General features: G+C 62.9%; 1 protein-coding gene and 1 long non-coding RNA gene across 9 annotated transcripts in view, besides 16 other annotated features; both read left to right on the top strand.

Annotated features, from left to right (window-relative positions):
- Positions 413-1,093: an enhancer, noted in NCBI's record as "H3K4me1 hESC enhancer chr20:60956340-60957020 (GRCh37/hg19 assembly coordinates)". NCBI's record gives its function as "activates a minimal SCP1, AML or CMV promoter by ChIP-STARR-seq in primed H9 embryonic stem cells {active_cell/tissue: H9 hESC(primed)}" and the evidence as "EXISTENCE:reporter gene assay evidence [ECO:0000049][PMID:30033119]".
- On the top strand, positions 3,550-8,562 carry LOC105372708 (uncharacterized). The gene is made up of 2 exons (XR_936966.4): positions 3,550-4,097; positions 4,891-8,562. It is a non-coding gene; the product is annotated as an uncharacterized LOC105372708 (long non-coding RNA).
- Positions 3,767-4,368: an enhancer, noted in NCBI's record as "H3K27ac-H3K4me1 hESC enhancer chr20:60953065-60953666 (GRCh37/hg19 assembly coordinates)". NCBI's record gives its function as "activates a minimal SCP1, AML or CMV promoter by ChIP-STARR-seq in naive and primed H9 embryonic stem cells {active_cell/tissue: H9 hESC(naive and primed)}" and the evidence as "EXISTENCE:reporter gene assay evidence [ECO:0000049][PMID:30033119]".
- Positions 6,777-7,378: an enhancer, noted in NCBI's record as "H3K27ac-H3K4me1 hESC enhancer chr20:60950055-60950656 (GRCh37/hg19 assembly coordinates)". NCBI's record gives its function as "activates a minimal SCP1, AML or CMV promoter by ChIP-STARR-seq in naive H9 embryonic stem cells {active_cell/tissue: H9 hESC(naive)}" and the evidence as "EXISTENCE:reporter gene assay evidence [ECO:0000049][PMID:30033119]".
- Positions 7,379-7,982: an enhancer, noted in NCBI's record as "H3K4me1 hESC enhancer chr20:60949451-60950054 (GRCh37/hg19 assembly coordinates)". NCBI's record gives its function as "activates a minimal SCP1, AML or CMV promoter by ChIP-STARR-seq in naive H9 embryonic stem cells {active_cell/tissue: H9 hESC(naive)}" and the evidence as "EXISTENCE:reporter gene assay evidence [ECO:0000049][PMID:30033119]".
- Positions 10,665-11,362: an enhancer, noted in NCBI's record as "H3K4me1 hESC enhancer chr20:60946071-60946768 (GRCh37/hg19 assembly coordinates)". NCBI's record gives its function as "activates a minimal SCP1, AML or CMV promoter by ChIP-STARR-seq in naive H9 embryonic stem cells {active_cell/tissue: H9 hESC(naive)}" and the evidence as "EXISTENCE:reporter gene assay evidence [ECO:0000049][PMID:30033119]".
- Positions 12,763-13,462: an enhancer, noted in NCBI's record as "H3K27ac-H3K4me1 hESC enhancer chr20:60943971-60944670 (GRCh37/hg19 assembly coordinates)". NCBI's record gives its function as "activates a minimal SCP1, AML or CMV promoter by ChIP-STARR-seq in naive H9 embryonic stem cells {active_cell/tissue: H9 hESC(naive)}" and the evidence as "EXISTENCE:reporter gene assay evidence [ECO:0000049][PMID:30033119]".
- Positions 14,942-15,381: a silencer, noted in NCBI's record as "silent region_13109". NCBI's record gives its function as "represses an Ori minimal core promoter by ATAC-STARR-seq in GM12878 lymphoblastoid cells {active_cell/tissue: GM12878}" and the evidence as "EXISTENCE:reporter gene assay evidence [ECO:0000049][PMID:35858748]".
- Positions 15,065-22,692, top strand: part of LAMA5 (laminin subunit alpha 5) — a 58,248-nt gene continuing 50,620 nt past the window's right edge. For all 8 annotated transcript variants that reach the window (XM_047440149.1, XM_011528819.3, XM_047440148.1 and 5 more), the window contains exons 1-2: positions 15,065-15,428; positions 19,825-19,977. In XM_047440149.1, coding sequence (XP_047296105.1) covers positions 15,132-15,428; positions 19,825-19,977 — 450 coding nt within the window. In that variant the 5' untranslated portion in view covers positions 15,065-15,131. The remainder of the gene's footprint in view (positions 15,429-19,824; positions 19,978-22,692) is intronic.
- Positions 15,561-16,260: an enhancer, noted in NCBI's record as "H3K27ac-H3K4me1 hESC enhancer chr20:60941173-60941872 (GRCh37/hg19 assembly coordinates)". NCBI's record gives its function as "activates a minimal SCP1, AML or CMV promoter by ChIP-STARR-seq in naive H9 embryonic stem cells {active_cell/tissue: H9 hESC(naive)}" and the evidence as "EXISTENCE:reporter gene assay evidence [ECO:0000049][PMID:30033119]".
- Positions 16,959-17,658: an enhancer, noted in NCBI's record as "H3K27ac-H3K4me1 hESC enhancer chr20:60939775-60940474 (GRCh37/hg19 assembly coordinates)". NCBI's record gives its function as "activates a minimal SCP1, AML or CMV promoter by ChIP-STARR-seq in naive H9 embryonic stem cells {active_cell/tissue: H9 hESC(naive)}" and the evidence as "EXISTENCE:reporter gene assay evidence [ECO:0000049][PMID:30033119]".
- Positions 17,659-18,358: an enhancer, noted in NCBI's record as "H3K27ac-H3K4me1 hESC enhancer chr20:60939075-60939774 (GRCh37/hg19 assembly coordinates)". NCBI's record gives its function as "activates a minimal SCP1, AML or CMV promoter by ChIP-STARR-seq in naive H9 embryonic stem cells {active_cell/tissue: H9 hESC(naive)}" and the evidence as "EXISTENCE:reporter gene assay evidence [ECO:0000049][PMID:30033119]".
- Positions 17,710-18,004: a silencer, noted in NCBI's record as "tiled region #4533; K562 Repressive DNase matched - State 5:Enh". NCBI's record gives its function as "represses a minimal TATA promoter and a strong SV40 promoter by Sharpr-MPRA in K562 cells {active_cell/tissue: K562}" and the evidence as "EXISTENCE:reporter gene assay evidence [ECO:0000049][PMID:27701403]".
- Positions 18,871-18,920: an enhancer, noted in NCBI's record as "active region_18198". NCBI's record gives its function as "activates an Ori minimal core promoter by ATAC-STARR-seq in GM12878 lymphoblastoid cells {active_cell/tissue: GM12878}" and the evidence as "EXISTENCE:reporter gene assay evidence [ECO:0000049][PMID:35858748]".
- Positions 19,059-19,757: an enhancer, noted in NCBI's record as "NANOG-H3K27ac-H3K4me1 hESC enhancer chr20:60937676-60938374 (GRCh37/hg19 assembly coordinates)". NCBI's record gives its function as "activates a minimal SCP1, AML or CMV promoter by ChIP-STARR-seq in naive H9 embryonic stem cells {active_cell/tissue: H9 hESC(naive)}" and the evidence as "EXISTENCE:reporter gene assay evidence [ECO:0000049][PMID:30033119]".
- Positions 19,758-20,457: an enhancer, noted in NCBI's record as "NANOG-H3K27ac-H3K4me1 hESC enhancer chr20:60936976-60937675 (GRCh37/hg19 assembly coordinates)". NCBI's record gives its function as "activates a minimal SCP1, AML or CMV promoter by ChIP-STARR-seq in naive H9 embryonic stem cells {active_cell/tissue: H9 hESC(naive)}" and the evidence as "EXISTENCE:reporter gene assay evidence [ECO:0000049][PMID:30033119]".
- Positions 20,458-21,156: an enhancer, noted in NCBI's record as "NANOG-H3K27ac-H3K4me1 hESC enhancer chr20:60936277-60936975 (GRCh37/hg19 assembly coordinates)". NCBI's record gives its function as "activates a minimal SCP1, AML or CMV promoter by ChIP-STARR-seq in primed H9 embryonic stem cells {active_cell/tissue: H9 hESC(primed)}" and the evidence as "EXISTENCE:reporter gene assay evidence [ECO:0000049][PMID:30033119]".
- Positions 21,157-21,857: an enhancer, noted in NCBI's record as "NANOG-H3K27ac-H3K4me1 hESC enhancer chr20:60935576-60936276 (GRCh37/hg19 assembly coordinates)". NCBI's record gives its function as "activates a minimal SCP1, AML or CMV promoter by ChIP-STARR-seq in naive and primed H9 embryonic stem cells {active_cell/tissue: H9 hESC(naive and primed)}" and the evidence as "EXISTENCE:reporter gene assay evidence [ECO:0000049][PMID:30033119]".

Below are 22,692 nucleotides of genomic sequence, written 5' to 3'. Positions count from 1 at the left end.
AAAAGGTGTGGCACCCAGCATACTAACACTCACCATCATCACCATCATCATTGCTACTACCATCATTGTCACCATCACCACCATCGCCATCACTATCACTATCATCACCACCACCATCATCACCATCACCACTATCATCACCACCATCATCATCACTATCATTATTGTCATGATTGTCTATCACCATCATCACTGTCAGTATCATCGTCACCACCATTGTCATCACCATCATCATCATCTTCACCATCATCTTCACTATCACCGTCATATCCACCATCATCGTCACCATCACAACCACCATCACCACCAACACACTGTCACCATCATCACCATCATCACCATTATCAACATTGTCATTGTCACCATCATCATCATAACCACCATCGTCACCACCATCATTGTCATCGTTATTATGCCCAAGATCACAAGACTAGGTCTGGATTTGGGGCTGTTGACTCAGGAGGCCACACTATAGCCACCCCAATCTCACACGGGCCCCTATTCAGGATGCCTGGGCAGGTATCTGTGCACAACAGCCCTGGCTCTGCTCTCCAGCCCCTCCTTCAGGCTCACCTCACAGGCAGGTAAACATGTTCTCAGACATGCTGTGGTGCGGGCTGGGAGAAGAGCCTCCCTCCTCCTTCCCAGAGCAGCTGTTTCTGGGCCAAGCAGGGCCCAGGCCAGCCCCAAATGCATTGTGTGTAGAAGGGAACAAGCCCAGAACAAGGAAATCCTCCTTCCAGGCCAGGGAGGTGGGTGTCCGGGTGAGTGGCAGGTCAGGGCCGTGGGATGGGCCTTCTCCTGCAGCGAGCCCGACACTGAGCTACAGCCACCAGCCCCCACTCCTGCCCCAGATAGAACCCGCTCTTGGGTGAAGGCTACGATAGCCAGCCTCAGAGTGGGACTTATGGGGTGTGGGGAGAACACGGACCTGGCCATGAGCTGTCAGGGGATTCCTGGGGCACTGCCTCCTAAGCCATGACTCGACATCCTCTCGTCTTGGAGAGACAGAGGCAGTAACAGCCCCGCCCCAGGTTTGCAGAGGCTTAAGTGAGGTCACCAACGTGAGGGGGAGGCCCAGCTGCCCGGGAGCCCTGGAGACTGTCACGGCATTTGTCACAGGGACCCTGGGAGTGTTGGGCCAGCGCATCTTTCCATTTCGTGCCATTCAGTTTTACTTTAACTCACTTTACTATTTTGTTTTTTGAATTTATTTTACTTGATGAGACTTTAGAATTTTTACATTGAGGGAGAACCTACCTATGAGAAAGTGCCCAGATCCTGAAGGTCCCACCCCTGTGGTCACGGCAGGCACTGGGTCAGAGCCTGGGGGTCCAGGGTACCTTCCCCACCCCCCTCCCCAGAGGCTCCTCATGCCCCTTTCCAGGACATGGTGAAGACAGGCAGAGGGGCTGGGCTGGCCGGGCCTGGGCACTGGGTACTGGGTCCCACCGTGAGTCTCCCTGGAGTACAGGCTGACCCAGCAGGGAGACCCGGAGAAGTCCTCTCCCCACACCTCCTGGGGGCTGGCTGAAATCTGAGCCAAATGACAGGAAAAGAGGCACTTCCATCCCAGTGGACACACCAAGGGCTCCCACGCTGGCCAGGCGCCAGGCCAGCTCAGCCAAACTGGTTCAAAGAAAGGAAGCTGAAGGGGAGACCAGAAGCAAGGCCCACTCTGCCTCCAGGACCAGGCCCACCTGGGGCAGAGACTGGGGTCTGTCCCCACCCGGGACCTGTGGGCCTGTATCCTGACCTGGGCCCAAGCTGACCTCTGACCCCAGCATAGACGGATCCCCAGTCTCGGCTCCAGGCCAACTTCTTTTTTTTTTGAGACAGAGTCTCGCTCTGTCCCCCAGGCTGGAGTGCAGTGGCACGATCTCAGCTCACTGCAAGCTCCGCCTCCCTGGTTCACGTCATTCTCCTGCCTCAGCCTCCCAAGTACCTGGGACTACAGGTGCCCGCCACCACGCCCAGCTAATTTTTTGTATTTTTAGTAGTGACAGAGTTTCACCATGTTAGCCAGGATGGTCTCGATCTCCTGACCTCGTGATCCGCCCGCCTCGGCCTCCCAAAGTGCCAGGATCACAGGCATGAGCCACCACGCATAAGCCACCACACCCGGCTTTTTTTTTTTTAAGACGAAGTCTCGCTCTGTCCCCCAGGCTGGAGTGCAGTGGCGTGATCTCGGCTCACTGCAAGCTCCACCTCCCTGGTTCACATCATTCTCCTGTCTCAGCCTCTCGAGTAGCTGGGACTACAGGCACCCGCCACCATGCCTAGCCAATTTTTTTTTTTTTTTTTTTTTAGCTGGAGTTTTGCTCTTGTTGCCCAGGCTGGAGAGCAATGGCGCGATCTTGGCTCACCGCAACCTCCGCCTCCCGGGTTCAAGCGATTCTTCTGCCTCAGCCTCCCTAGTAGCTGGGATTACAGGCATGTGCCACCACGCCTGGCTAATTTTGTATTTTTTTTTTTTTTAGTAGAGATGGGGTTTCTCCATGTTGGTCAGGCTGGTCTCGAACTCCCGACCTCAGGTGGTCCGCCCACCTCGGCCTCCCAAAGTGCTGGGATTACAGGCGTGAGCCACCGCACCCGGCCTCCAGGCCAACTTCTGACCCCAGGCCCCAGCATTCCGGAGCCAGGGCAGCACCGTAATTAAGGCAGAGACCTGGGAATCAGGCCTGTTTCTGGTGCCACCTCCACACACACCCGGCCCTTCTCCTCCCTGAGCCTCAGTTTTCCCATTTGGAGGCAGGACCGTTCCTCCTTCACCGTGGGTGGAGGGGAGGATCCACAGGGAAAGGGACTGCCAGGGACACCGTGAGGGGTGCACTATGCAAAGGCAGTGTCGCGTCCACACGGGGTGCACCTGCAGACACAGAGAAAAACTAACTTTTACTTTTGCTGCTGTTTTCCTACTGAAAATGGGCCACCTCTGGCTGGGCGCGGTAGCTCACGCCTGTCATCCCAGCACTTTGGGAGGCCAACGGGGGCAGATCATGAGGTCAGGAGATCGAGACCATCCTGGCTAACACGGTGAAACCCCGTCTCTACTAAAAATACAAAAAATTAGCCGGGCGCGGTGGCTCACGCCTGTAGTCCCAGCACTTTGGGAGGCTGACGGGGGCGGATCACGAGGTCAGGAGATCAAGAGCATCCTGGCTAACATTGTGAAACCCCGTCTCTACTAAAAATACAAAAAATTAGCCGGGCGTGGTGGTGAGCGCCTGTAGTCCCAGCTACTCGGGAGGCTGAGGCAGGAGAATGGTGGGAACCCAGGAGGCGGAGCTTGCAGTGAGTGGAGATCGCACCACTGCACTCCAGCCTGGGCGACAGAGTGAGACTCGTCTCAAAAAAAAAAAAAGAAAAGAAAAGAAAAAGAAAATTAGCCACCTCTGTCTGCCTATGTGTCCAGGAAGGGGCCTGGGACTGGCTCTCGGGGCCTAGCTCCTCCTGCCCTCTGGGAAATGTGCAGAATGTCTAAGCCAGCAAGCAGGCATGGGAAGGGAGTGGCCGGCCGGATGCAGGGCTCCATGGAACAAGTTCCCCAGTGCCAGGGCAGGACAGCAGGGCCTGGAGAGCCATCATCAGCAGGCTCCATCCTTCCACCTGTGAACTGTGACCTGAGAGGAGCCACCTCCTGGGAGGCCCACGAGGGGTCCTGACCAGCAGCCTGGCACCTGCTGGGGCCACGCAGAGACCCCATGGCAGCCTGCGGGAAGGGCAGTTATCATCCCATTGACAGAGCAGTGACTGAGGCCAAGCGGGACGGAGTCGCTTCCCTGGAGTCATGGAGGATTCGAGGGCCCGGCATGCCCAGTGGGAATGGCGGGATTTCGGGCACGGCACGTCCAGAGGCAACGGTGTGAGGCCCCCTCATTTCTGGAGCCCTGCTGGCGCCCAGCCGGGAGCCTGGGATGGGCCCCAGAGGAAGGCGGCTGGGACTCCTGCTCCACCCCCACCTCCCCGAGCCCATCCCAGCTGCTTCTGAGAGCGTCGGGCTGGACGTGCCCGCACGGCAGAAACAGGCCCAGAGACGAGGCTGTGTTTTGCTTGAAAGCCTCTGCGGAGTGATGGAATCCACATTCCTGCCCCAGGTGAGTCGCCCAGGCTTGTCTTGCTCAGCCTGGCTCTCCCAGCTCCTCAGGGTTCCCAGCCACTCAAGGTTCCCAGCTCTGTGGCCCGGCTGGAGCTCCGAGGCCCTGGAAGTTCTTGTGGGACCCAACAAGCCCCTGAGGGGCAGCCAGAGGCCCTCATCTGCTGGGACTCCTGCAGGTGGCTCCGCAGGGTCACAGGTCGCCCTGGGCCCTGGGGCCACAGTGAATGGATCCTAAGGCTGCCCTGCAAAGGGACCCCAGAGAGGGGATGGGGTTGCACCCCCGGGCCGGCCACTGCGTGCCATGCAGACCTCTCAACCGGCCATGCTGGTGGGAGGCGCCCAGCAACTGGCAGGGCCCAGGAGGGTTCCTGCCAAGAACCTGGCACCCGGCCTGGGAGTCAGGCAGAGCCGCGGCCCCCACCTCCCTCCCACAGCGCCACCACCTCTCAGCGCTTCCTGGGGCCCCTGCCTCGGGGTGCTTTTGCCCACTCCCCTCAGGGGGCCTCACGGCCACCCAGCAGGGAGGCACCATTGTCCCTGCTCAGCACTTGAAGCCCTAAGACTCTCCCAGGCTCCCAGCCAGGGAGGCACTGAGCCAAGACTGGGCAAGGAATGGGCCAGGCCCACCAGCTCCCCAACCATCCGGCCAGGACACAGGGCAGCCCCTGCCTGACTGCTGTCCCCAGGAGCCTGCACCAGGAGCCAGGAACCATCTGAGCTCCAGGCCTGCATGACAAGGCTACATGAGAACCAGTATTGATTCATTTCATTCATTCACTCCACAAACACAGGTGCTCCTCGACCCTCCGTGAGGCCACGTCCTGATAAACCCGTGGTAGGTTAGAAATACCGACAGCTGAAATGCTCTAATACACTTAACCCACGGAACATCACAGCTGAGCCTTCTTGCCTTATACACACTCAGCACACTTCCATTAGCCTACAGCTGGGCGAAGTCATCCCCCACGAAGCCTCCTTTATAATAATGCATCAAATGCCTCACGTAATTTGTCCAATGCTATAAGAAGGAGAAAAACAGATTGGTTGTGTGGGCACTGGAAGTACGGTTTCTACCGAACAATTGCAAATCAGAAGCCGGGAACCGTAGAGCACAGAACACCCGTCATGTCCACCCGCCATTTCCAAGCCCCGTGCTGGGTACAGGCGCTCCTTGGTGCGTGGAACAGACAGCCCTGTGCCCAGGGAGCTCGCAGCCTAGGACGGGACAACTGGCATCCCAGGAGGGTGTAGGGCTGTGAGTCTCACCGGGGAGATTCAGCCCCGGGACATGGGGCTACTCAGAAGATATTTTTGGTTGTCACGACTGGAGGGCAAGTGCTTCTGGCCTCTTGGGAGTGGGGGCCAAGCGGCCCCACCTCAGGTCAGTGTCCAGCCAGACTGTCTGACCAGCGCCTGTTGAGGGGCTCTGAAGGGCCATGGCCCGGATGAAGGGGCTCCAGGGGCAGGGTGGCCAGGGAAGGCCTCTCTGAGCAGGGGACTTTCACAGAGTGAGCGGAATTGAGATGGCCCGGTTCCTCTGCAGGTCCCCACAGCCTGGGAAGAGGAGAATCTGAGAGCACGGCCGCCTGGGGGCAGGCCGAGGCAGGCGGATCCTGAGGGAGCAGCCGCCTGGTGCCAGGCCTGGGGAATTCCAGGAGGCAGAGGCCTCAAAAGCCCTCCTCCAGGCTCCGAGTTCCCAGCAGCCCCTGCCACATTCCTCCACCTGGGTGGGCAGGGGTGCAGGGGCTCAGTGCATTCCTGGTGGAGATAGGGAGGCCAGCCTGCGGCCTGCGCCAGCCTCCTGCGGGGCCTGGGGAGCCCTGTCCAGGCTCTGCCGAGCTCAGCATATTGGAGCTGAGCCAGTCGGCCTTTGCTGGAACACTCAGGCGGAGGTCGCCTTTCGCCTTTCTGTGTGGGGAGAAGCCACTTGCAGATAAGGCAGGGATTCACCAGCTCCGGGGGGCTGGCAGGACATGGCCACACTTCACCTGCAACCAAGCCTCCCCATCTGTAAAATACAGATAACAAGGGGGCCAGGCGGTGGCTCACACCTGTAATCCCAGCACTTTGAGAGGATGAGGCCTGTGGATCACTTGAGGTCAGGAATTCGAGACCAGCCTGGCCAACATAGTGAAACCTTGTCTCTACTAAAAATACAAAAATTAGCTGGGCGTGGTGGCGAGCACCTGTAATCCCAGCTACTCAGGAAGCTGAGGCAGGAGAATCGCTTGAACCCGAGATGCAGAGGTTACAGTGAGCCGAGATCGCGCCACTGCACTCCAGCCTGGGCGACGAGCAAAACTCCATCTCAAAAAACAAAAAAAAACAAGAGCAGGTCCCTCGCAGGAGATGGGAGCCAGCTCCGCGCCCGGCCTGATGTCGGCTGCACGGGCTGCCTGGCTCTCCTGCACAGAGGTGGGAGGGAGGCACGGGGGGGCCCAGGTCAAGAAAACACAACCCCCACATGTTCAGGGGGCTGGAGGTGGGGGCTGCGCCTCTGACCTGAAGCTGCCCAGCAAGCCCTTTGTGGAGCCAGGAGCAGGCAGTGGGCAACTGGGCCGACAGGCCCTACCCTGGCCGCCAGGAGGCTCCGTGGCAGCTGCTCTCTTGCACGCCATCCCCACTGCCACTCCCGGGTTCTGAGAGAGAGCCCCATGGGAGGCCACGCACAGACCCCTGACCTGGCTGCCGGGGGTGGTCCAGATCCCTTGCGAGAGGAAACGTGGGCCCCCAGTGGACCCCAGCACCATCTGTGGTCAGCGGGAGCCTTCCAAGTCTCCGTGTGTTTACATTCCCCCAGGAAATAGCTCCCCAGAAGAGCTGCAAATATTTTCTTAATGTTGGAACTTGTGGCAAACAGAGGCCTGGAGTGGGCCCACCCACACTTTGCCCCTCCACACATCGGGGGCCCAGTGGGATCCTGGGGTTACCTCCTCACCTGGCCCACCCCCTCCCCCTCCCCCTCCTGGCAGGGGACAGGCACATGGGGGCCCAGCTGGGGCATCTTCCTGCCGGAGCTGGGGCAGCCAGCCCAGGGGATTCAGTGGCACTGCCATCCTCCCACCTTTCAGCCTTCCTTTCGTGAAACTGGGCTGGCAATAGGTGGAGGTGGCTGAGGTGTTGCTTGGCGGTTTGAATCAATGAAGACCCTAGGGGACGGGGGTCAGGCCCTGGACCTGCCTAGTAACTCAGGCTCCTGGCAGACCGGGCTGAAGACAGAGGCAGCTGCGGGGCTGTCTCTCCCGCCCCAGGCTGAGTCAGTGTGTAGGGCTGGGTGTCCTGGGTATGTGATGGCCCTAAACACAGGCCCCCACCTCTCTGTGCATGAGCACAGGTCCAGCTGGTGTTGGCAGGCTGTGTGGGTGGCCCATAAGCACCAAGAAGTACCCTGCTTCTACTGACCTCCACCTGAAGACTCCCAGGCACCTGCCCGCCTGAACTGGCTCTGCAGGCTCACTCAGCATCCACGTGCTCCTCCCTCTCCCCCTCCACACTGGCGAGGGGCCAGTGGCCATGGCACATCCCAGGCCTCCGGTCCCTGGTCCCTGGGCAGCCCCTCCAAGAGCCTGCCTGTACAGAGTGCCGCTCCTGTCCACTGATGTCTACTGTGTGGATGGACCACGTTTCTCTCCCCAGTCGACCCTGGATGGCCGTTCGGGCTGTTTCTGCCTGATGGCTCTGGTGCCTGGCGCTGCCGTGCGTGTTTACCCACGAGTGTCTGTGCAGAGACGTGTTTACGCTTCTCTCTGCAGCTACCAGGTGTGGAGCTGCTGGGCCGTGTGCAACTGTGTTCAGTCCTTTGAGGAACCACCAGCTGGTGTCCTAGCAGCTCCCACACTGGACACCACACTGGTCCCCGCAGGATCCTGCCTGTAGTTGTTATTGTCTTATTTCCTGATTCTGTTGGTGGCTATAGAGTGAGGATCACGGTGTGGGCCTCAGGCGGGCATAAAAAGAGGCTGGAGTCTGGGCACTGGGCCCTTGCCTGCCACGCCTGGTGTGGGAGGATGTGGGTCCCGGGGCAGTGGGAAGGTGACGGGAGAGGGGCGATCGGTCATTCAGCCACCATCGTCCAGCAGCCCAGCGCTGGGCTCGGACGCAGCAGTGAGCACACGGAGCTGCCTCTGCCTTATGTGCTTTGTCTGGGGGGCTGATGTGGGTCAGGAGATCTCATCCTGGACGCCCAAGGACACGCTGCACTGTCCTCTGTGAGCCGGGGGCAGCAACATGCCTCCCGGGCAGAGGGCGCAAGGACAGAGGGCCCATCCCTGTTGTGGATGGCACTTTCAGTGTGGAAGTGCGCGGCCTGGGAGCCGTCACTCCTGGGATCCTGGTTCACTGCAGAATCTGGACCAGCTCCTGGGCAGGAACCGTGGCCCGTTGTGTCCCAGTGATGGCACCAGCCCCCAGACTAAGCCAAGCCCCACGTTCGATCCAGTCAAATAAAGTGACCGAGGCGCACACCCGCGATCCCTAGTGAACGTGACCGAGGCGCACACCCGCGATCCCTAGTGAACGTGACCGAGGCGCACACCCGCGATCCCTAGTGAACGTGACCGAGGCCCACACCCGCGATCCCTAGTGAACGTGACCGAGGCGCACACCCGCGATCCCTAGTGAACGTGACCGAGGCCCACACCCGCGATCCCTAGTGAACGTGACCGAGGCGCACACCCGCGATCCCTAGTGAACGTGACCGAGGCCCACACCCGCGATCCCTAGTGAACGTGACCGAGGCGCACACCCGCGATCCCTAGTGAACGTGACCGAGGCGCACACCCGCGATCCCTAGTGAACGTGACCGAGGCCCACACCCGCGATCCCTAGTGAACGTGACCGAGGCTCACACCTGTGATCCCTAAGACCCTTGGCTGAGCTTGGCAGGGCTAGGGCAGCAGCGGGGGGAACACAAAGAGAGCAAGAGAGACAAAGAGAGATAGAGAGACACAAAGACAGAGAGATACAGAGACAGAGAGAAACAGAGACAAAGAGACAGAGATCGAGACAGATGGAGACAAGCAGAAACGGAGAAACAGAGATAGACAAAGAGATAGAGACAGAGACAGAAATAGAGATGGAGACAAGCAGAAACGGAGAAACAGAGATAGACAAAGAGATAGAGACAGAGACAGAAATAGAGAGAGAGATGGAGACAAGCAGAAACGGAGAAACAGAGAGATAGACAAAGAGATAGAGACAGAGAAATAGAGACAGAGAGTTGAAGACAGAAACAGACAGAGAAAGAGATACAGAGATAGAGACAGAAACAGAGACAGACAGATGGAGACAGAGAGGCAGAGAGTCAGAGGGAGAGAGTCAGGAGAGGGAGGGGTGGGAGGGGGACGCTTCCCTCTGCCCCAGGGACCCTGGCTAGCCAAGGCACACACCAGGGCGCAGGCAGAGGGGATGAAGCCCCGTGGGCGTCCATGAGGCTGGAAGCGGCTGACTGTGGGGCCTGGGGAGTTGCCCTTGCAGTGCGGGAAAGCCAACCCGGATGAGGGGAGGCCTTTGTCCTGAGGAGGGGCCTTTGCAGAGCTGCAGGTGTTCCCATCCATGTGGGACCCCCAGCCAGATGTCCCAAGGTCGGTGAGGGGCCGGGCCAAGCTGCCTCCCTCTGAGGGGTTCTCAGCCCAGGAGGCTGGGTTCATGGGAGACATTTGAGGGTGGGCTCGTGGGGGCCCTGGCCTCGCCCAGGGCGCAGTCCCAGGTTCCTGCCCAGGCTCTGGCTCTGCCCACTGGGCCCTCCTGGGAAGTCAGATTCCTCCTGGGCTTCGAGGCCTTCTGGCCATATAAGGCCGTCTGTGGGCACCTCCTGGAGAAGCTCAGAACCCTCACCCCCCACCCGCCCCACCCTCTATGAGAACCAGAGCTCAGCCAGGCAAGGACAGAGGCAGGGGAGGGCCTGCTGGAGCCGTGGTCCTGTGGGGGAGGAGGGCACAGGCAGGCCAGGCCCCAGGGGTAGAGGCTCAGGGTCCCGAGTCACCCTGCCCAGCATGCTGGGGCGCCCCCATTCCGCCTGTTTCCCCTGGGGTTCCTGGCCCCTGGAGCTCACTAGGGCTCCCCAGTCTAGGCCTGAGGCAAGCAAGTGGTAAGAATGGGGGTACGGGGTAGGGGGACCGCAATTAAATAAGATTAAGGTGACACGTGGAAGCGTAGGTGCCCGGCCTCGGGGTGGACGCTGCAGCCGTGTGCCACTGCATGTTTACCCCGGGCGATGCCTTTTCTGGGGCTCCCCAGAGATCTGGGGGCAGGAGTCCTGGACTCTGCCTCACACCCCAGCAAGGTGCTGGGAGGTGCCCTGACAGGGGCCCCCACTTGAGGGAGGGGATGGGTTGGGGTCCTGGGAGCAACCTTGTTACTGGACCGGCCCCTTCCCTGCCAAGTTGTAGGTGGTTAGATCCCAGGGAGGTCCCGGGCCCCCTCCCTGGGAGTTCCCAGGGCCCCCTACTCCTTCCCTCCTAAAGGCTGGCAGGGTGGAGGCTCCCCTACACCCAGCTACACAGGCCCAGGCCGGGGCAGGGGCATCCAGGTGGGATCCTGGACTCTGGACTTTCGGTCGCCACGCAGACCACCCCACAGAGCTCCATGAGGCCCCCCCATTTCTGAGCACCCCAGGTTTGCCTGCTTGTCATGGGGCTGGGCCCGCCTGCACAGGGCACCAGCCCAAGCGCTTCTCCTTGCCACTTGGGAAGAAAAGGAGCTGGGTGGGCAAGAGGAGCCTCGGGGAGCATCTGTGGAGAGCCCAAGGAGCCCGGATGCTGACCCTCTCCAGATCTCCGACACTGGGCACCACCTAAGCCTGTCTGCACCCCCTCTGGCATGGGGGCCCACCTGAAACCCCCCAGGTGTGAACCCAGTGGCAGCCTTTGGGTCGGGCCTCGGGGAGTGGGCAGGCGTGAGGCATGTCACCTGCACGGGTGACTTGTCTCCTGGAGCCCTAAGGCGGTGGCCATGCTCCTGGCATGGTGCCTGGCCTGGAAGGCTTTGAAGAGCCCCAAGTCTGTGGAGGGCCTGCCCCGTGAGTGGTGCCTGGGGCTGCGTGGCCTGTGAGCTGGGCACACACAGCAAGTGGCAGAGGGGCCAGGGGCCAGGCAGCGGTGGGTCAGAGTCCTTCATTCCTGGTTAGTGTCAACCCGGAGCCTGGTCTCTGTGCTTTCCAACAACCACATGTCCCAGAGGCCGTCAGGAGCCCAGCAGTGGCCCAGCTGGGGTCACAGCCAGGGAGGAAAAAGCACCACTCCTTCCAAACGGGCTGTTTCCAGACCCTGCCTAGGCCAGGAAGGCCGGACTATCCCTTGGCCCCATCCTTCTGGCAGCAGGAACCTGCAGACCCTCGGAGGCTGGAGGCAGGTGGCAGCCCTGGGGGAAGGCGGGCTCCAGGCCTGGGGGAGGGGTCTGGCTATGGCTCAGGGTCTTCCTGGGCTCTGCCTCCATTCCTTTGAGGCCAGCCCCCCAGGGTCTGCAACTCCGGGCTGGCTCTTACAGCAGTCTGTCCAGGCTGAGGGCAGTGGGGGCCTCCTAGGCCAAGAGGCCCAGAAGCTCTCCCAGTCCGCTGGGTTTATGCAATCCTGATGAGACCTTGTCTTCCCGGCACCTGCTGTTCTGTGTCCTCCTCCCAGAGGACTGAGCTGGCCCACGCGAACAGTTCAGAACCAGCCTTGCTGCCCGCTCCCAGCTTCTCTATTTCATGGACAGGGATGGAGGTTCTTACCAGCCGGCTCCACGGAAGGGCATCCCAGCAGCCCTGAGAAAGGGACTGTGGCCTCCGATATCCCAAACCACAGCGCTGGCGTTCCTCCAGACCTCATCCCGCTGAGACAACATTCCCAGTTCTGGAGTGGGAGCCACAAGGCCTCACCCGCAGGCCCGGCCCTAGCAGGAGCCCAGCCTCCAGCCCTCCTTCTTGCTCAGCCCCCGCTTCCTCTTGGGGGCTTCTCCCGAGGGTACAGCACCCACTTGGACCCTGGGCTCTGGGACAGGAGGGTCTGCAGAGTCATCTGTTACTGATTGTGGCTGCCTGTGATGCAGCTGAGTGTGGGCGTGGGGGTGCCCCATGTCCTCAGCACAGCGGTGTCCCCAGGAGGCTCCCAAGGTCAGGAGTTCACGACTCACGGCTGAGTCAGATGTGCCTGTGGCCTACCCTCAGGGTCCCCCACAGCTGCCTGCAGGTGTGGCCGAGTAGGGTGGGGGCATTCTCAGGAATGCCACTGGAGTAGCACTGGGGGCTCAGGTGAGGTGGCTGCCCCCAGGGCTCCGCAGCAGACCTTGTCCCAGGGCTGGGGGAGGATCTGAGACCCCTTCCCCAGGGCCAGGAGTGCCCCTACTTCTCTCGGGCTGCCACTGACCCCTGCCCCCGACCCACCTCCTCTGGGGCTCCATCACCCTGGAGCTGGGTGGGCAGGGGCTCTGGATCTTGGATTGTCCCTGGAGGGCAGCCAGAGCCTGGTGGGACAGAGGCTCCTCCACGGCCCTCCCCTGGCGAGCCACCTCCTTTTACCCTCCCCTCCACTCCCAGACTGGGCAGCTCCCTCCTGTGGATTCAGGACAGGACGTGTTTGGGGGTGGGGTGCCGTCTGACCTGTTGCAGGGAGGAGGACTACGTCACGGGCGGGTGCCCGAAAGATGCCCAGTAAATAGGAGTAAGAAATGAATGATGGACAAACTTCCTCTTGCTTTACTAACTTGTGTGCTCTTGATTGACCCTGGCCTTTTTGGCCTCAGTTTCCCCATTTGTAAATAGAAGAGGTGGCTGGGCTGCGCAGGACTCAGAAAGACAAGGAGACAGGCTCGCTGGTCCATTTGGTGATGACTCACTGGAACCATGACAAAGACAGCAGGGGTGGGGGTGTGCAGAGATGAGCTGCCCCTCTCCCTGCTCACCTCCCCAACCCCCTGTGTGTAGCCCGGCTGGGACAGCCCCCCCGCCCTCCATACGCTCAGCTCCTGCCCCAGCTGCCTCCTTCCCAGTCCGTGCACCAGCAGACACAGGGTGGGGGCAGAGTGTGGGCTCTTTACCCAGCCCCTGGGCCACATTCTCTTGTCCACTGCGCTGCCCGCCTGCCTGCCAGTTGCTCCCGGGGCAGCTGTCTGCCGGGAAGCAGTGAGCCCGGTGATTAACCCTGCTGGTGCTGGCAGCTCCGGCTGACACAGCGCATTCTCAGGGCCGGCCCCCGCTCCCCTCCTGGCCAGTGCCGGGGGACAGCGGAGGCCTGGCAGCTTGGCCTGATCTGGCCGCTAGGAGGCTTAAAGTGCTCTCCCCACCCCCACCTCTCCCCCTGCCCCGCCACTCGCAATCCCACCCCTCCAACCACCCGACCCTCCAGGGATCCCAAGAAGCCCTCAGGGTCTCAGGAGTCTCCACCTCCAGTCCCCCAGGCTGTCAGAGCCCCAAGCTGTCAAGGGGGAGCCCAGAGCCAGAGCACACTGCCTGGGGCCAAGCCCCCACCTGGGGACCCGCTACTGCCCAGAGGCCACTCTCTGCCTCACACGGGATCTAAAGCAGCTCAGAGCCGGACTCTGCGCCTGGACTGCAGATTCCTTGATGTCTCCGCCCCCTCTCCAGCCAGCCCCTCCCCCACTTGGAGCTTCTCCTGCCAAGGGGAGCCGCCTCCTCTCCCCCCTCCCCCAGGTGGGAGAACTAATAGTGAAGTTATGGAAGAATTGCCGGGCCGGAAAGTAGGAGGAGGGAGAGAGGGTCCCATCGCCCTCCCGACTCCGTAGAGAAAGGGCCATACACCCTCTTGGGATTTGAGATTTGCAGGAGGCCAGGGCGCCAGGAAGGTGTGCAAGGAGGTGCACCCTCCAGGGACAGCTGCTAGCTCAGAACCCCCACCAGAACCGGCTGGCCAGTGCCCCACAAACCCACCCAGCCCCCCGGGACTGTCCAGGGAACCCAGCGAGAGATGAGCCCCACAGCCCATCTGGGACCATGGCCCGCCCAGCTGGCCTGGCTCAGGGATGGGGGTTTGCTGCCAGCTCGGCAGCTGCAGCCCCACCCCGCCGCCACCCCCTCGGGGCTTCCCTGGAGGCAGATTTGGCCCCGGAGCCCAAGGGAAGTAGGAGACCCAGGGCCGCAGCCACCCAAAGGCAGACGAAGACCTGATCTCGGCCTCTAGGTCCTGTGCTGTTTGCCAGGCGTCCTCGAGCCGCCGATCGTGGCAGGAACGCGTGCGCGGCTGTGCAGCGGGTTGGAGGCCAGGCCGAGAGAGCTGGTGGAGTCCACCGGGCCCCGGAGCACAGGTGCTTCCAGGCACCCAGCAGGTGCTCAGCAGCTGTGACCAGAGCCCCCGACCTCCTTAAGAGCCAATTTGGCGGCTGTGGGGCCATGAGCACCGCCCCCGTCCTCTAAAGGGGGCTGCAGCTGCAGGCCAGTCCCTCCTGCCCCTATTTCCCTATCTGAGAGTATTTTTAAGCCCTGCTGGGGCAGGCGGGAGCCAGGCCGAGTTGAACCTGACCTGGCTGCCCCAGGAAGCAGGGGGTTCCCACCTAGGCTGCCCCGTTCCTCTGCAGATGGTCATTCGCGGGTGCAGAGGGCACCTTCCCGCAGCCAGCAGGACGGACGCTGTTGGGGGAGGAGCGGGGGCAGCCGAGTGGTGCACCCAAGTTAGGGGAACAAAGAGTGGGCCCCTGGGCTGGGAGGAGCTGGTGGGCGCTCTGGGGGCCAGGGCGTCGTGGGGAGCGCTAGGGTCCCACCCGGGACCCGGAGCTACGACCTGGGCTGGGGGCCCGGCGGCGCCGTCGTCCCACGGCCTGGCCCGAGGCCAGCAGGTGCCCCTTCCGGGAGGCGGCCGGGCCGGGGTCCGAAGGGTTAAGGCCGCCCGGCCGCCCCTCCCCCTCCTCTCTCCTTCCCCCCCCCACCCCGCCTCCCCGGACCTCTCCCCGGGGCTCGGGGCTCGGGCGCTCGGGCGGGCCGGGGCGGGGCCTGACGTCCGCGGGCGGAGCGAGCCCTGCCGGCCGCCTGGCTTCAGACCCGCCGGGCTCCCGCCGCGCGCGCTGTCCCTGGAGCTCGGGGACGCGGCCCGGAGCCGGGAAGATGGCGAAGCGGCTCTGCGCGGGGAGCGCACTGTGTGTTCGCGGCCCCCGGGGCCCCGCGCCGCTGCTGCTGGTCGGGCTGGCGCTGCTGGGCGCGGCGCGGGCGCGGGAGGAGGCGGGCGGCGGCTTCAGCCTGCACCCGCCCTACTTCAACCTGGCCGAGGGCGCCCGCATCGCCGCCTCCGCGACCTGCGGAGAGGAGGCCCCGGCGCGCGGCTCCCCGCGCCCCACCGAGGACCTTTACTGCAAGCTGGTAGGGGGCCCCGTGGCCGGCGGCGACCCCAACCAGACCATCCGGGTGAGCGCAGGGGCGGGCCGTGGGGCTTCCTCCCGGGGCACTCGGACCCGGAACACCGGCCCGACCCCAGGGGGAGCGCCGTGGCCCGGGGCGAGTCCAGGTGCGGACTCTCTGGTTCCGCATTTTGGGGGCCCAAGAAGGCACCCCGACCCGGCCGCTCCGTCTCGGCCGGGAAACTTCGCGTCCCTCCGGGAAGGCGGAATTAAAGTCCCCGGCATGGACCCGGGGGCGGCTGGGCGCCGGTCCAGTTCGACTGCGGTGACCGGGGCGGGAGGGGGGCCGGGCCCAGTCCCTGGCGGCCCCAAGTCCGGGATCCCGGGGAGGGCGGGACTTGGCCTCCGCCGCCTGCTGCCGGTGGGGAGGGGGCGCAGCTCCGCCCTACCCGGGACAGGCTGGAACCTGTTGGCCTCTGGATGGGGTGGGAGGGGCCAGCCACCTGAGGCTCCCACTAGCCCCTCTCGGAGGAGTCTAGGGACTCGAGGAGACCTCCAAAGTAGGGGAGGGCCAGCTGCGAAGTTTTGACTGGGGCTGGGAACACGTGGCTCCCAGGAGGGGCAGCATCTCTGCCCAGCAGGTGGTAGGGTCCGGGGGCTTCAGTCTCCCTGGGAGATGTGGGTTCAGGCCCTGAAGACCCCCTGGGGTGCATGTCCCCTCCCCAACAAGCCTTAAACCTGTAGGCGGGTTCTGTTGGTGGACTCCATGCATGGACACCTCACCTGAAAACCAAGGCTCTTGGGGCCCTGTAGACTTAGGTTGGGCCTGGGGTCAGCCTTGGGTGAGGAGCAGCAAAGTCAGCTCCAACGGCTCCCAACCGGCCGCTCTAGGCCCATTCCCCACCTCAGCCCCACCTTAGGGAGAGTCTAGGGGCCCTGAGGGCCTGTGTAACCTGAGCTGTCTCCTCCCTGGTACCTCTGCCTTCCCGGAAGGAGAGGCTGGGGCAGGGGCGAGTAGCTGGAGATTTGCTGGGTGGGGGCAGAGGGCCCTGGAGCAAGACGTTATGGGGATGAATGGAGGAGCCTGGGCTGGGCCCGCCCCCTCTGCCTGCCCCACCCCCTTGGCCCTGGTGGAGGGGGAAGGAGCCTCCCCAGGCTTCTGGGCTCACCGTTCTCTCCTTAAGCCCAGCACAGTCCTCTGAGATAGGAGGTCTCAAGCCCACACTTCAGATGGGGGATCTGAGCCCTGGAAAGCTGCTGACACCTGCTTGGAGCCCCCCAGCCAGAACAGGGTCCAGCGGGGGTTAGCTGTGGGAACCTGGGTGCCTCCTGGCTGCCCCCTTATCTGGTCAACTCAGAGGGGCCGGGTCTCAGGACGGAGGGCCTGTGACTGTCTCCTTACCTGCTGCCACACCTCACCACAGAGGGCCTGGCTGAGTGTCCCCAGCTGAGATTTTGCCGTTCTGGCAGGGGAGGCTCCAGGTGCCCTGTGAACCTCAGACCACCCCCCCACAGCCTGCCCATGCTGCGTGGCTGGGGGCCACAGGCCCCCTCTCAGATCTGTCTCCTCTGTGGGGGCTTATTACCCCCGTCTCGTGAGTAAAGGGCCAGCCTGTAGTCAACGCCCCTCTCCTCTGCCTCAGCTGTGTGGCTTCCCTCTGTCAGCCTCAAGCTGTCTTTAAAATGGGCACAGCGTGCTGGCCCCCCTCACCTGAGACTGTGAGCTTGGCCCGAGGAGCCTGGGAAGTGGCCACAGTTTCAGTGGCAGCTGTGGGCTGTGGTGCTCCATGCCTCAGAGCCAGCTTGGATGAGAAACCAGCCGGCCTCGCCCAGCTCATGTCTAGCAATAGAGGTGAACCCTTCGCTTCCAAAGTCTCGAGCTCTGAGCAGTGAGTGCCCGCTGAGGCTGCCAGATATGTAGAAAGATCAGCTGGTAGACGTGAGCTGGACGGGTATGACCTTGGATGCCTCCTTCATCTGAGAGCCGCGGGTCTGCTGACCGCCCTGGCCGCGGATTGGGCGTGTGAGAAGTCCTTGCCGGCCGGTCTGGAGTGGAGCTGCGGTTGGGGCAAGGCAGGCAGGCACAGGAGGTGCCCAGGCGATGAAGCCGCAGCTCCATCTGAGGGGGCTCACTAAGGCTATGGGGCCTGGGGCTGGGCAGTGTGTTCTCAAGGCTGCAGGCCAGGGGCTCTCAGGGACCCTCTGTAGGAGATGCACATTAGCTGGGCATCCCAGATGGGGGTCGGGGTGAACCCTGCTGGGCAGCTGGAGCAGGCAGAGGGCAGGGGGAGGTTGTGGCCCTCACAGCCCCAGGTGGGCATCAGGGGATCCCTGGCCGGCCCAGCCTGGGAAGGTGGGGACTGGGCAGCCAGGCCAGCATGGTGACTCATTGGAAGGGGAAGTCCTTATCGGCCCTTCTGCTGTTTCCTAGCTCTGTTCTCACGGGACCCTCCGCAGCGGAGGTGGGGGAGCCTGGTTTTCCCAACCCTGTCCTCTGTGGCTCAGTGAGTGGCCGAATGGGGACTGGAACTGCCTCCCAATAACTGGACCAACGCTGGCCCAGGCAGGGACTGAGCAGGTGCTTCCCTGACCTCCTGGAAGAGTAGAGGCTGACCCTTGACCCGCAACCTTCCACCCAGCTTCCCTCTGCTGCTCGTGTGTCTGGGAGGGTCTTGACCAGCAAGCAGCCTTCCCTGGGAGGTCCGGCTGTCCCAGCCAGAGGGCGCCGCCCACACCTACCTTCTCCAGGAGCCCCTGGCCCCACCCTGAGCAGGACCTGTGTGCGCCGTGCTGTCATTGAGCTCTTGAGTTTGGGGGCCACCATCAAAGCTTGCAGTGCGGCCTGCGGGTAGGGGTCGTGGCGCTTAACTGGGTGTCTTCAGTTGCTCTAGCCCCATCCACGAGAATGCTTAGGTGGTGAGCTGGGGACACAGCGGGAATAAGGAGGGTGTGGACCCTGCCACTGCAGAGCTCTGGGGGACCCCGGGGAGGCCCCCAGATAATTCCAGGTCTCATACATGCAGTAAAGGAAATACAGCAGTGGCCACACTGGGGGCTGCAGAGCTGCATCTTGGGTGGTCTGGGGCAAGGTCTGAGATGGGGCAATCCAAACACCAGGGCGGGGTCTTGGGAGCCTGTGGGAGGGGTACCGGGTGTTGCCCTGGTGCTCAGTGGAGGCAGAGGGCACACTCTGGGCGAGGGGGTTGGGCCCTCTGTAGGTGCTGGGCCTGGGGGTGGGGAGAAGGCATCTCCCCAGCTCCTGCCTCCTCCTCCTAGGATGAGGTCTGGCCCCCCAAGGGAGGCTGGGCGGGGTAGGGCCGCTGACTTTCTCAAACTCAGATTGAGGCCTCTGGGGCCTCAATCAACCCCAAGCCTGGGAGGGCGCCTTTGTGTGGACAAACAGCAGATCTGGTTTCCTGGGGGGGCGGGGGAGCAGCCAGGACCCAGCTCTGCCCCCTCTCCTCATCCCTGCCCCGGCTCCCAGCACTACCCCTCCCCTGCCAGGATGCAGGCCAGGATTCTGCTGGGAGCCTCCTCTCTTCCCCACTCACCCATGCAGGACAGGCCCCCAGCAGATGGCAGGCCCGGGACAGAAGCGGCTGCCAGGCTGTGTGTGTGAGCCATTACTCCTCACGGTGGCCCCAGGCAGGTGCAGCCTTATCCCCACTCTTTGGATGGGGACATTGAGGCTCAGCAGTTACTGTGACTTGGCCTCTTCCCAGGACTCGGAAGCAGCAGCCAGGAGGCCCAGGCCCACCTGCCGCTGTCCACACGTCCACTCTGGGGCCGGTCCCCACAGGCCTCCGGAACAGCTTAATTCTGTCTCTCTGGAGACCCTAATCCAGAAGGCTGTGGGCAAGATCTGGAGGTGGGGGGGGGTCTGGCCGCCTGGATCCCGGCCCTGACGGTCCTTCTGTCTGCAGCTCCCCCTTCCGCCCCCTGGCTTGCTGCATTTTGTCCAAGCCTCTCTGGAGCCCCTGGCAGGGCCAGCAGGGAGGGGTAGCCATGCTTTGCCTTACTCCTGCCCCTTCTTGCTCCCTTTGGCTCTAGACACATTGATCCACCTTGTGGTTTACTGTGAGACTCTTCCTGCCCCCAGGGCTCGTTGCACTGGCACCCCCTCTGCCTAGAGCACACCCCCCCCCTTACCACGTAGTGCTCAGACGCCACCCCGCTAGAGAGGCCCACCGAGATTTTCCCACCCAAGGCAGATGCCCCTCTCCACCCTGGTCTTCCTCTTGTCCTTAGCGCCGTGAGCAGCTCACATGAGCCACATCCCCTGAGTCGGAGGAGCAGCAGGTGCTTGGCGCATGTTTGCTGAGCAAGTGGATGAGGGGCGCAGAGGCTGGGCGTGGAACCAGCTCAGTGGGACCAGGACTTGTCTCGGGGCAGCAGGGTGACTGTGGAGGAGGAAGGGGGCCCCGGCCCTTCTCGGCTATCTGACCCTCCCGTTCCCTCTGCAGGGCCAGTACTGTGACATCTGCACGGCTGCCAACAGCAACAAGGCACACCCCGCGAGCAATGCCATCGATGGCACGGAGCGCTGGTGGCAGAGTCCACCGCTGTCCCGCGGCCTGGAGTACAACGAGGTCAACGTCACCCTGGACCTGGGCCAGGTAGGGACCCTTCTTTGCGTGCTGCAGCCCCCATCTCTGTGTCTGTGCCCGTCGGGCCTACCTTGGGCCACAGGACCAGAAGGCGAGGTCTCCACCGTGAGCGAGACCTGGGGCCTGGGAGGCTGGACACGAAGGACTTGGTGGGGGGAGTCCCCACAGGGACAAAGGCACGGCAGTGGTCACCTTTTGTTTGTGCTTTCAGCGTCCCCATGACACAGGGAAAGCGGGTGCTCATGGGGGTGTTTCCAAAGGCCACAGAGTTTGGTTGCGGGTGCTGAGTAGACAGCTTGGGGCTGGGAGGGCGGAGGTGCTGTGAGCAGTGCGGTGGTGCCCCCTGCGTCAGGCGCCCTGCTGTTTAAGGAATTCCTGGCAGGTGCGGGAGGGGCTGCAGGAATGCAGAGGAGGCTGGCGCAAGTGGACATTCCTGGGATACCTGTGCCGAGGTGGCGGCCACTGAGGGTTAGGTGGGGTCGGGTGCCTGCTCTCCAGTCCCCAGCTCTGGGCTCTCCTTGGCCTTGGAGGCCCCTGCACAAGCAGGAGGCTGCAGCTGGGTGCCTCCAAGCGAAGAGTGAAACCCCCAAGGTGGGCCTGCCTGGCTGCCAGCCCTGAGCACCCCCAGATTGGGGGCGACTTGGCCCGGGTACCCAGCCTTGAGGTCCTGGCCTGTAAAATGGGCCAGTAATCCTGGTGCTTCTTAGGTCAGGGACAGTGGTGGGGCAGGTGGAGGAGGCTGGGCCTGAGAGCAGCCAGTGCCTGGAGTGGGGGCCCCAGGGCTGACCCAGAGGCCTGCATCCCAGCCGGCTCCGCCGCTGCCCCAGTCCCAGTGTGTGACACATCGGTCTTCACCCCTGTCTGAGCCTCTGTCCCTGCCATTGTCCCGAGGGTGTTAGAGATAGAGGAGGTCTCCCTGGAGCCTGGCTGGAGGGCCGGCCCCAAGGGGCAGGCACCTTTGGCAGCCTTGGTGGTCTGCAGGCCTGGCCCGGGCTGGGCAGGCAGTGAGGGGAGGGCTCAAGCTCCAAAAGTGGCCTGGAATTTCCAGGGGTTCCTGAACTTGCAGAGCCCTGTGGAGAAGGGCGGGGAGCTGGGGAGGGGTTGCCTGTCCTGGGCTCCCTGCCTGCCTGCCAGGCCCCTAGCCCTGCCCTGGCCTGGGTCTGGGTGTGGCTTTGCCTGTTTACCTTCATCTCACTGGGTTTCCCCGCATCTGACTCCCCTGTCCCCTGGAGCCTGGGGGTCCCTCATCTCTCTGGCACAGCAGCAGAGGCCCCCACCTTGGCTGTAGCGTACGTGTGAATTCTCAGCTGCTCGGGGCGGGAAGCTGGGCACTGGCGAGTTCTTCCCGCCTCTCCTCCTTTGAGAAACTAGGGGGCTGGGCTGGGGGAGGGGAGATGGCCCAGTCTCCACGGCAACCCCAGGGTGGCTGCAGAGCCAGTGGGCGCAGTGCCCGATGTGCCTGGGTGGGGCAGGGAAGCCGGGACTGACACTCGGACCCACGAGCCTGGGCTCCACCACCCCTTGGCTCTGGGGCTCTCTCGGCCTCGGTGCACATGTATGAACTGGGCTGGAAACTTCAGGCCTGAAGCCAGTTTGCTTTTAGATTGTTCTGGGCCAGAAATCAGGTTCCGCCATGTGAGCGTCTTGCCTCTCACAGCCTCAGTTTCACCAACTGTAAAATGATACGGAGGGAAGAGGAACCCTTTCCACTCCACCTGGGAAGTGGTCCCTCCACCCACCCACCCATCTATCCCTCCACCCACCCACCCACCCATCTATCCCTCCACCCACCCATCCACCCACCCACCCACCTACCTATCCTTCTACCCACCCATCCACCCATCTATCCCTCCACCCACCCACCACCCATCTATCCCTCCACCCACCCACCCACCCATCTATCCCTCCACCCACCCACCACCCATCTATCCCTCCACCCACCCACCACCCATCTATCCCTCCACCCACCCACTCACCCATCCCTCCACCCACCCACCTATCCTATCCCATCCCTCTGCCTGCTGACCCACCCACCCACCCACCCCCAACGTATCCACCCACCCACCCCTACCCATCCATCCACCCACCCACCCCCCTACCTATGCAGCACCCACCCTTTATTCCTTGTTTCCATCCATCTGTCCACCTGTCTGCTCATTCCTCCCTCCACACCTGCACCGTCTTCCTTCCTTCTCACCCACTTTCCTGACCACGTGGATGTATCTACCAAGGCCCCTGTCTCGGCCTAGGCCAGGGGGCTGCCAGCCTTGGTCAGGGTGGGGGCAGGGACTCCCTGGAGTGGGGTGGGGAAATGTCCTTCCTGGGCTTCAGGGCTGATCCTGGGGCGGGGCTGGGGCCTCCATCAGGAAGCCAGGCTGAGCGGCGGGTGGGTCCGGGCACTCCCCCTGCAGCGGGCTGCCAGCAGCCTTTGTTCTGGGATCTGGAGCGGATGCCCTGGGACGGGGGTGGGGGCGGCTGGCACTGGGCATCGGGAAGGCTTCCTGCTCCTGGAAGGCTGAGGAGGGCGGGGTGGGCTGCATCACGGTTCGGATCTCATACCCCTGGTGTGCGGTGGGGCAGGGGCTGGCGCAGGGGAGGGGAGACTAGTCCCTGTGGTGTCCACCCAGAAGCAGCTGAGCCTGGGCCCCCGGGAGTGCCAGCTGGGCTCCTGGCCTGGGTCCCGCTGCGCCCAGCCGTGGAGGGGTTCTCTCTCCAAGGGTGGGG

The sequence above is a fragment of the Homo sapiens genome, chromosome 20, assembly GCF_000001405.40.
Source record: "Homo sapiens chromosome 20, GRCh38.p14 Primary Assembly".
Lineage (NCBI taxonomy): Eukaryota > Metazoa > Chordata > Mammalia > Primates > Hominidae > Homo > Homo sapiens.
This window is presented reverse-complemented; position numbering and strand designations above follow the sequence as displayed.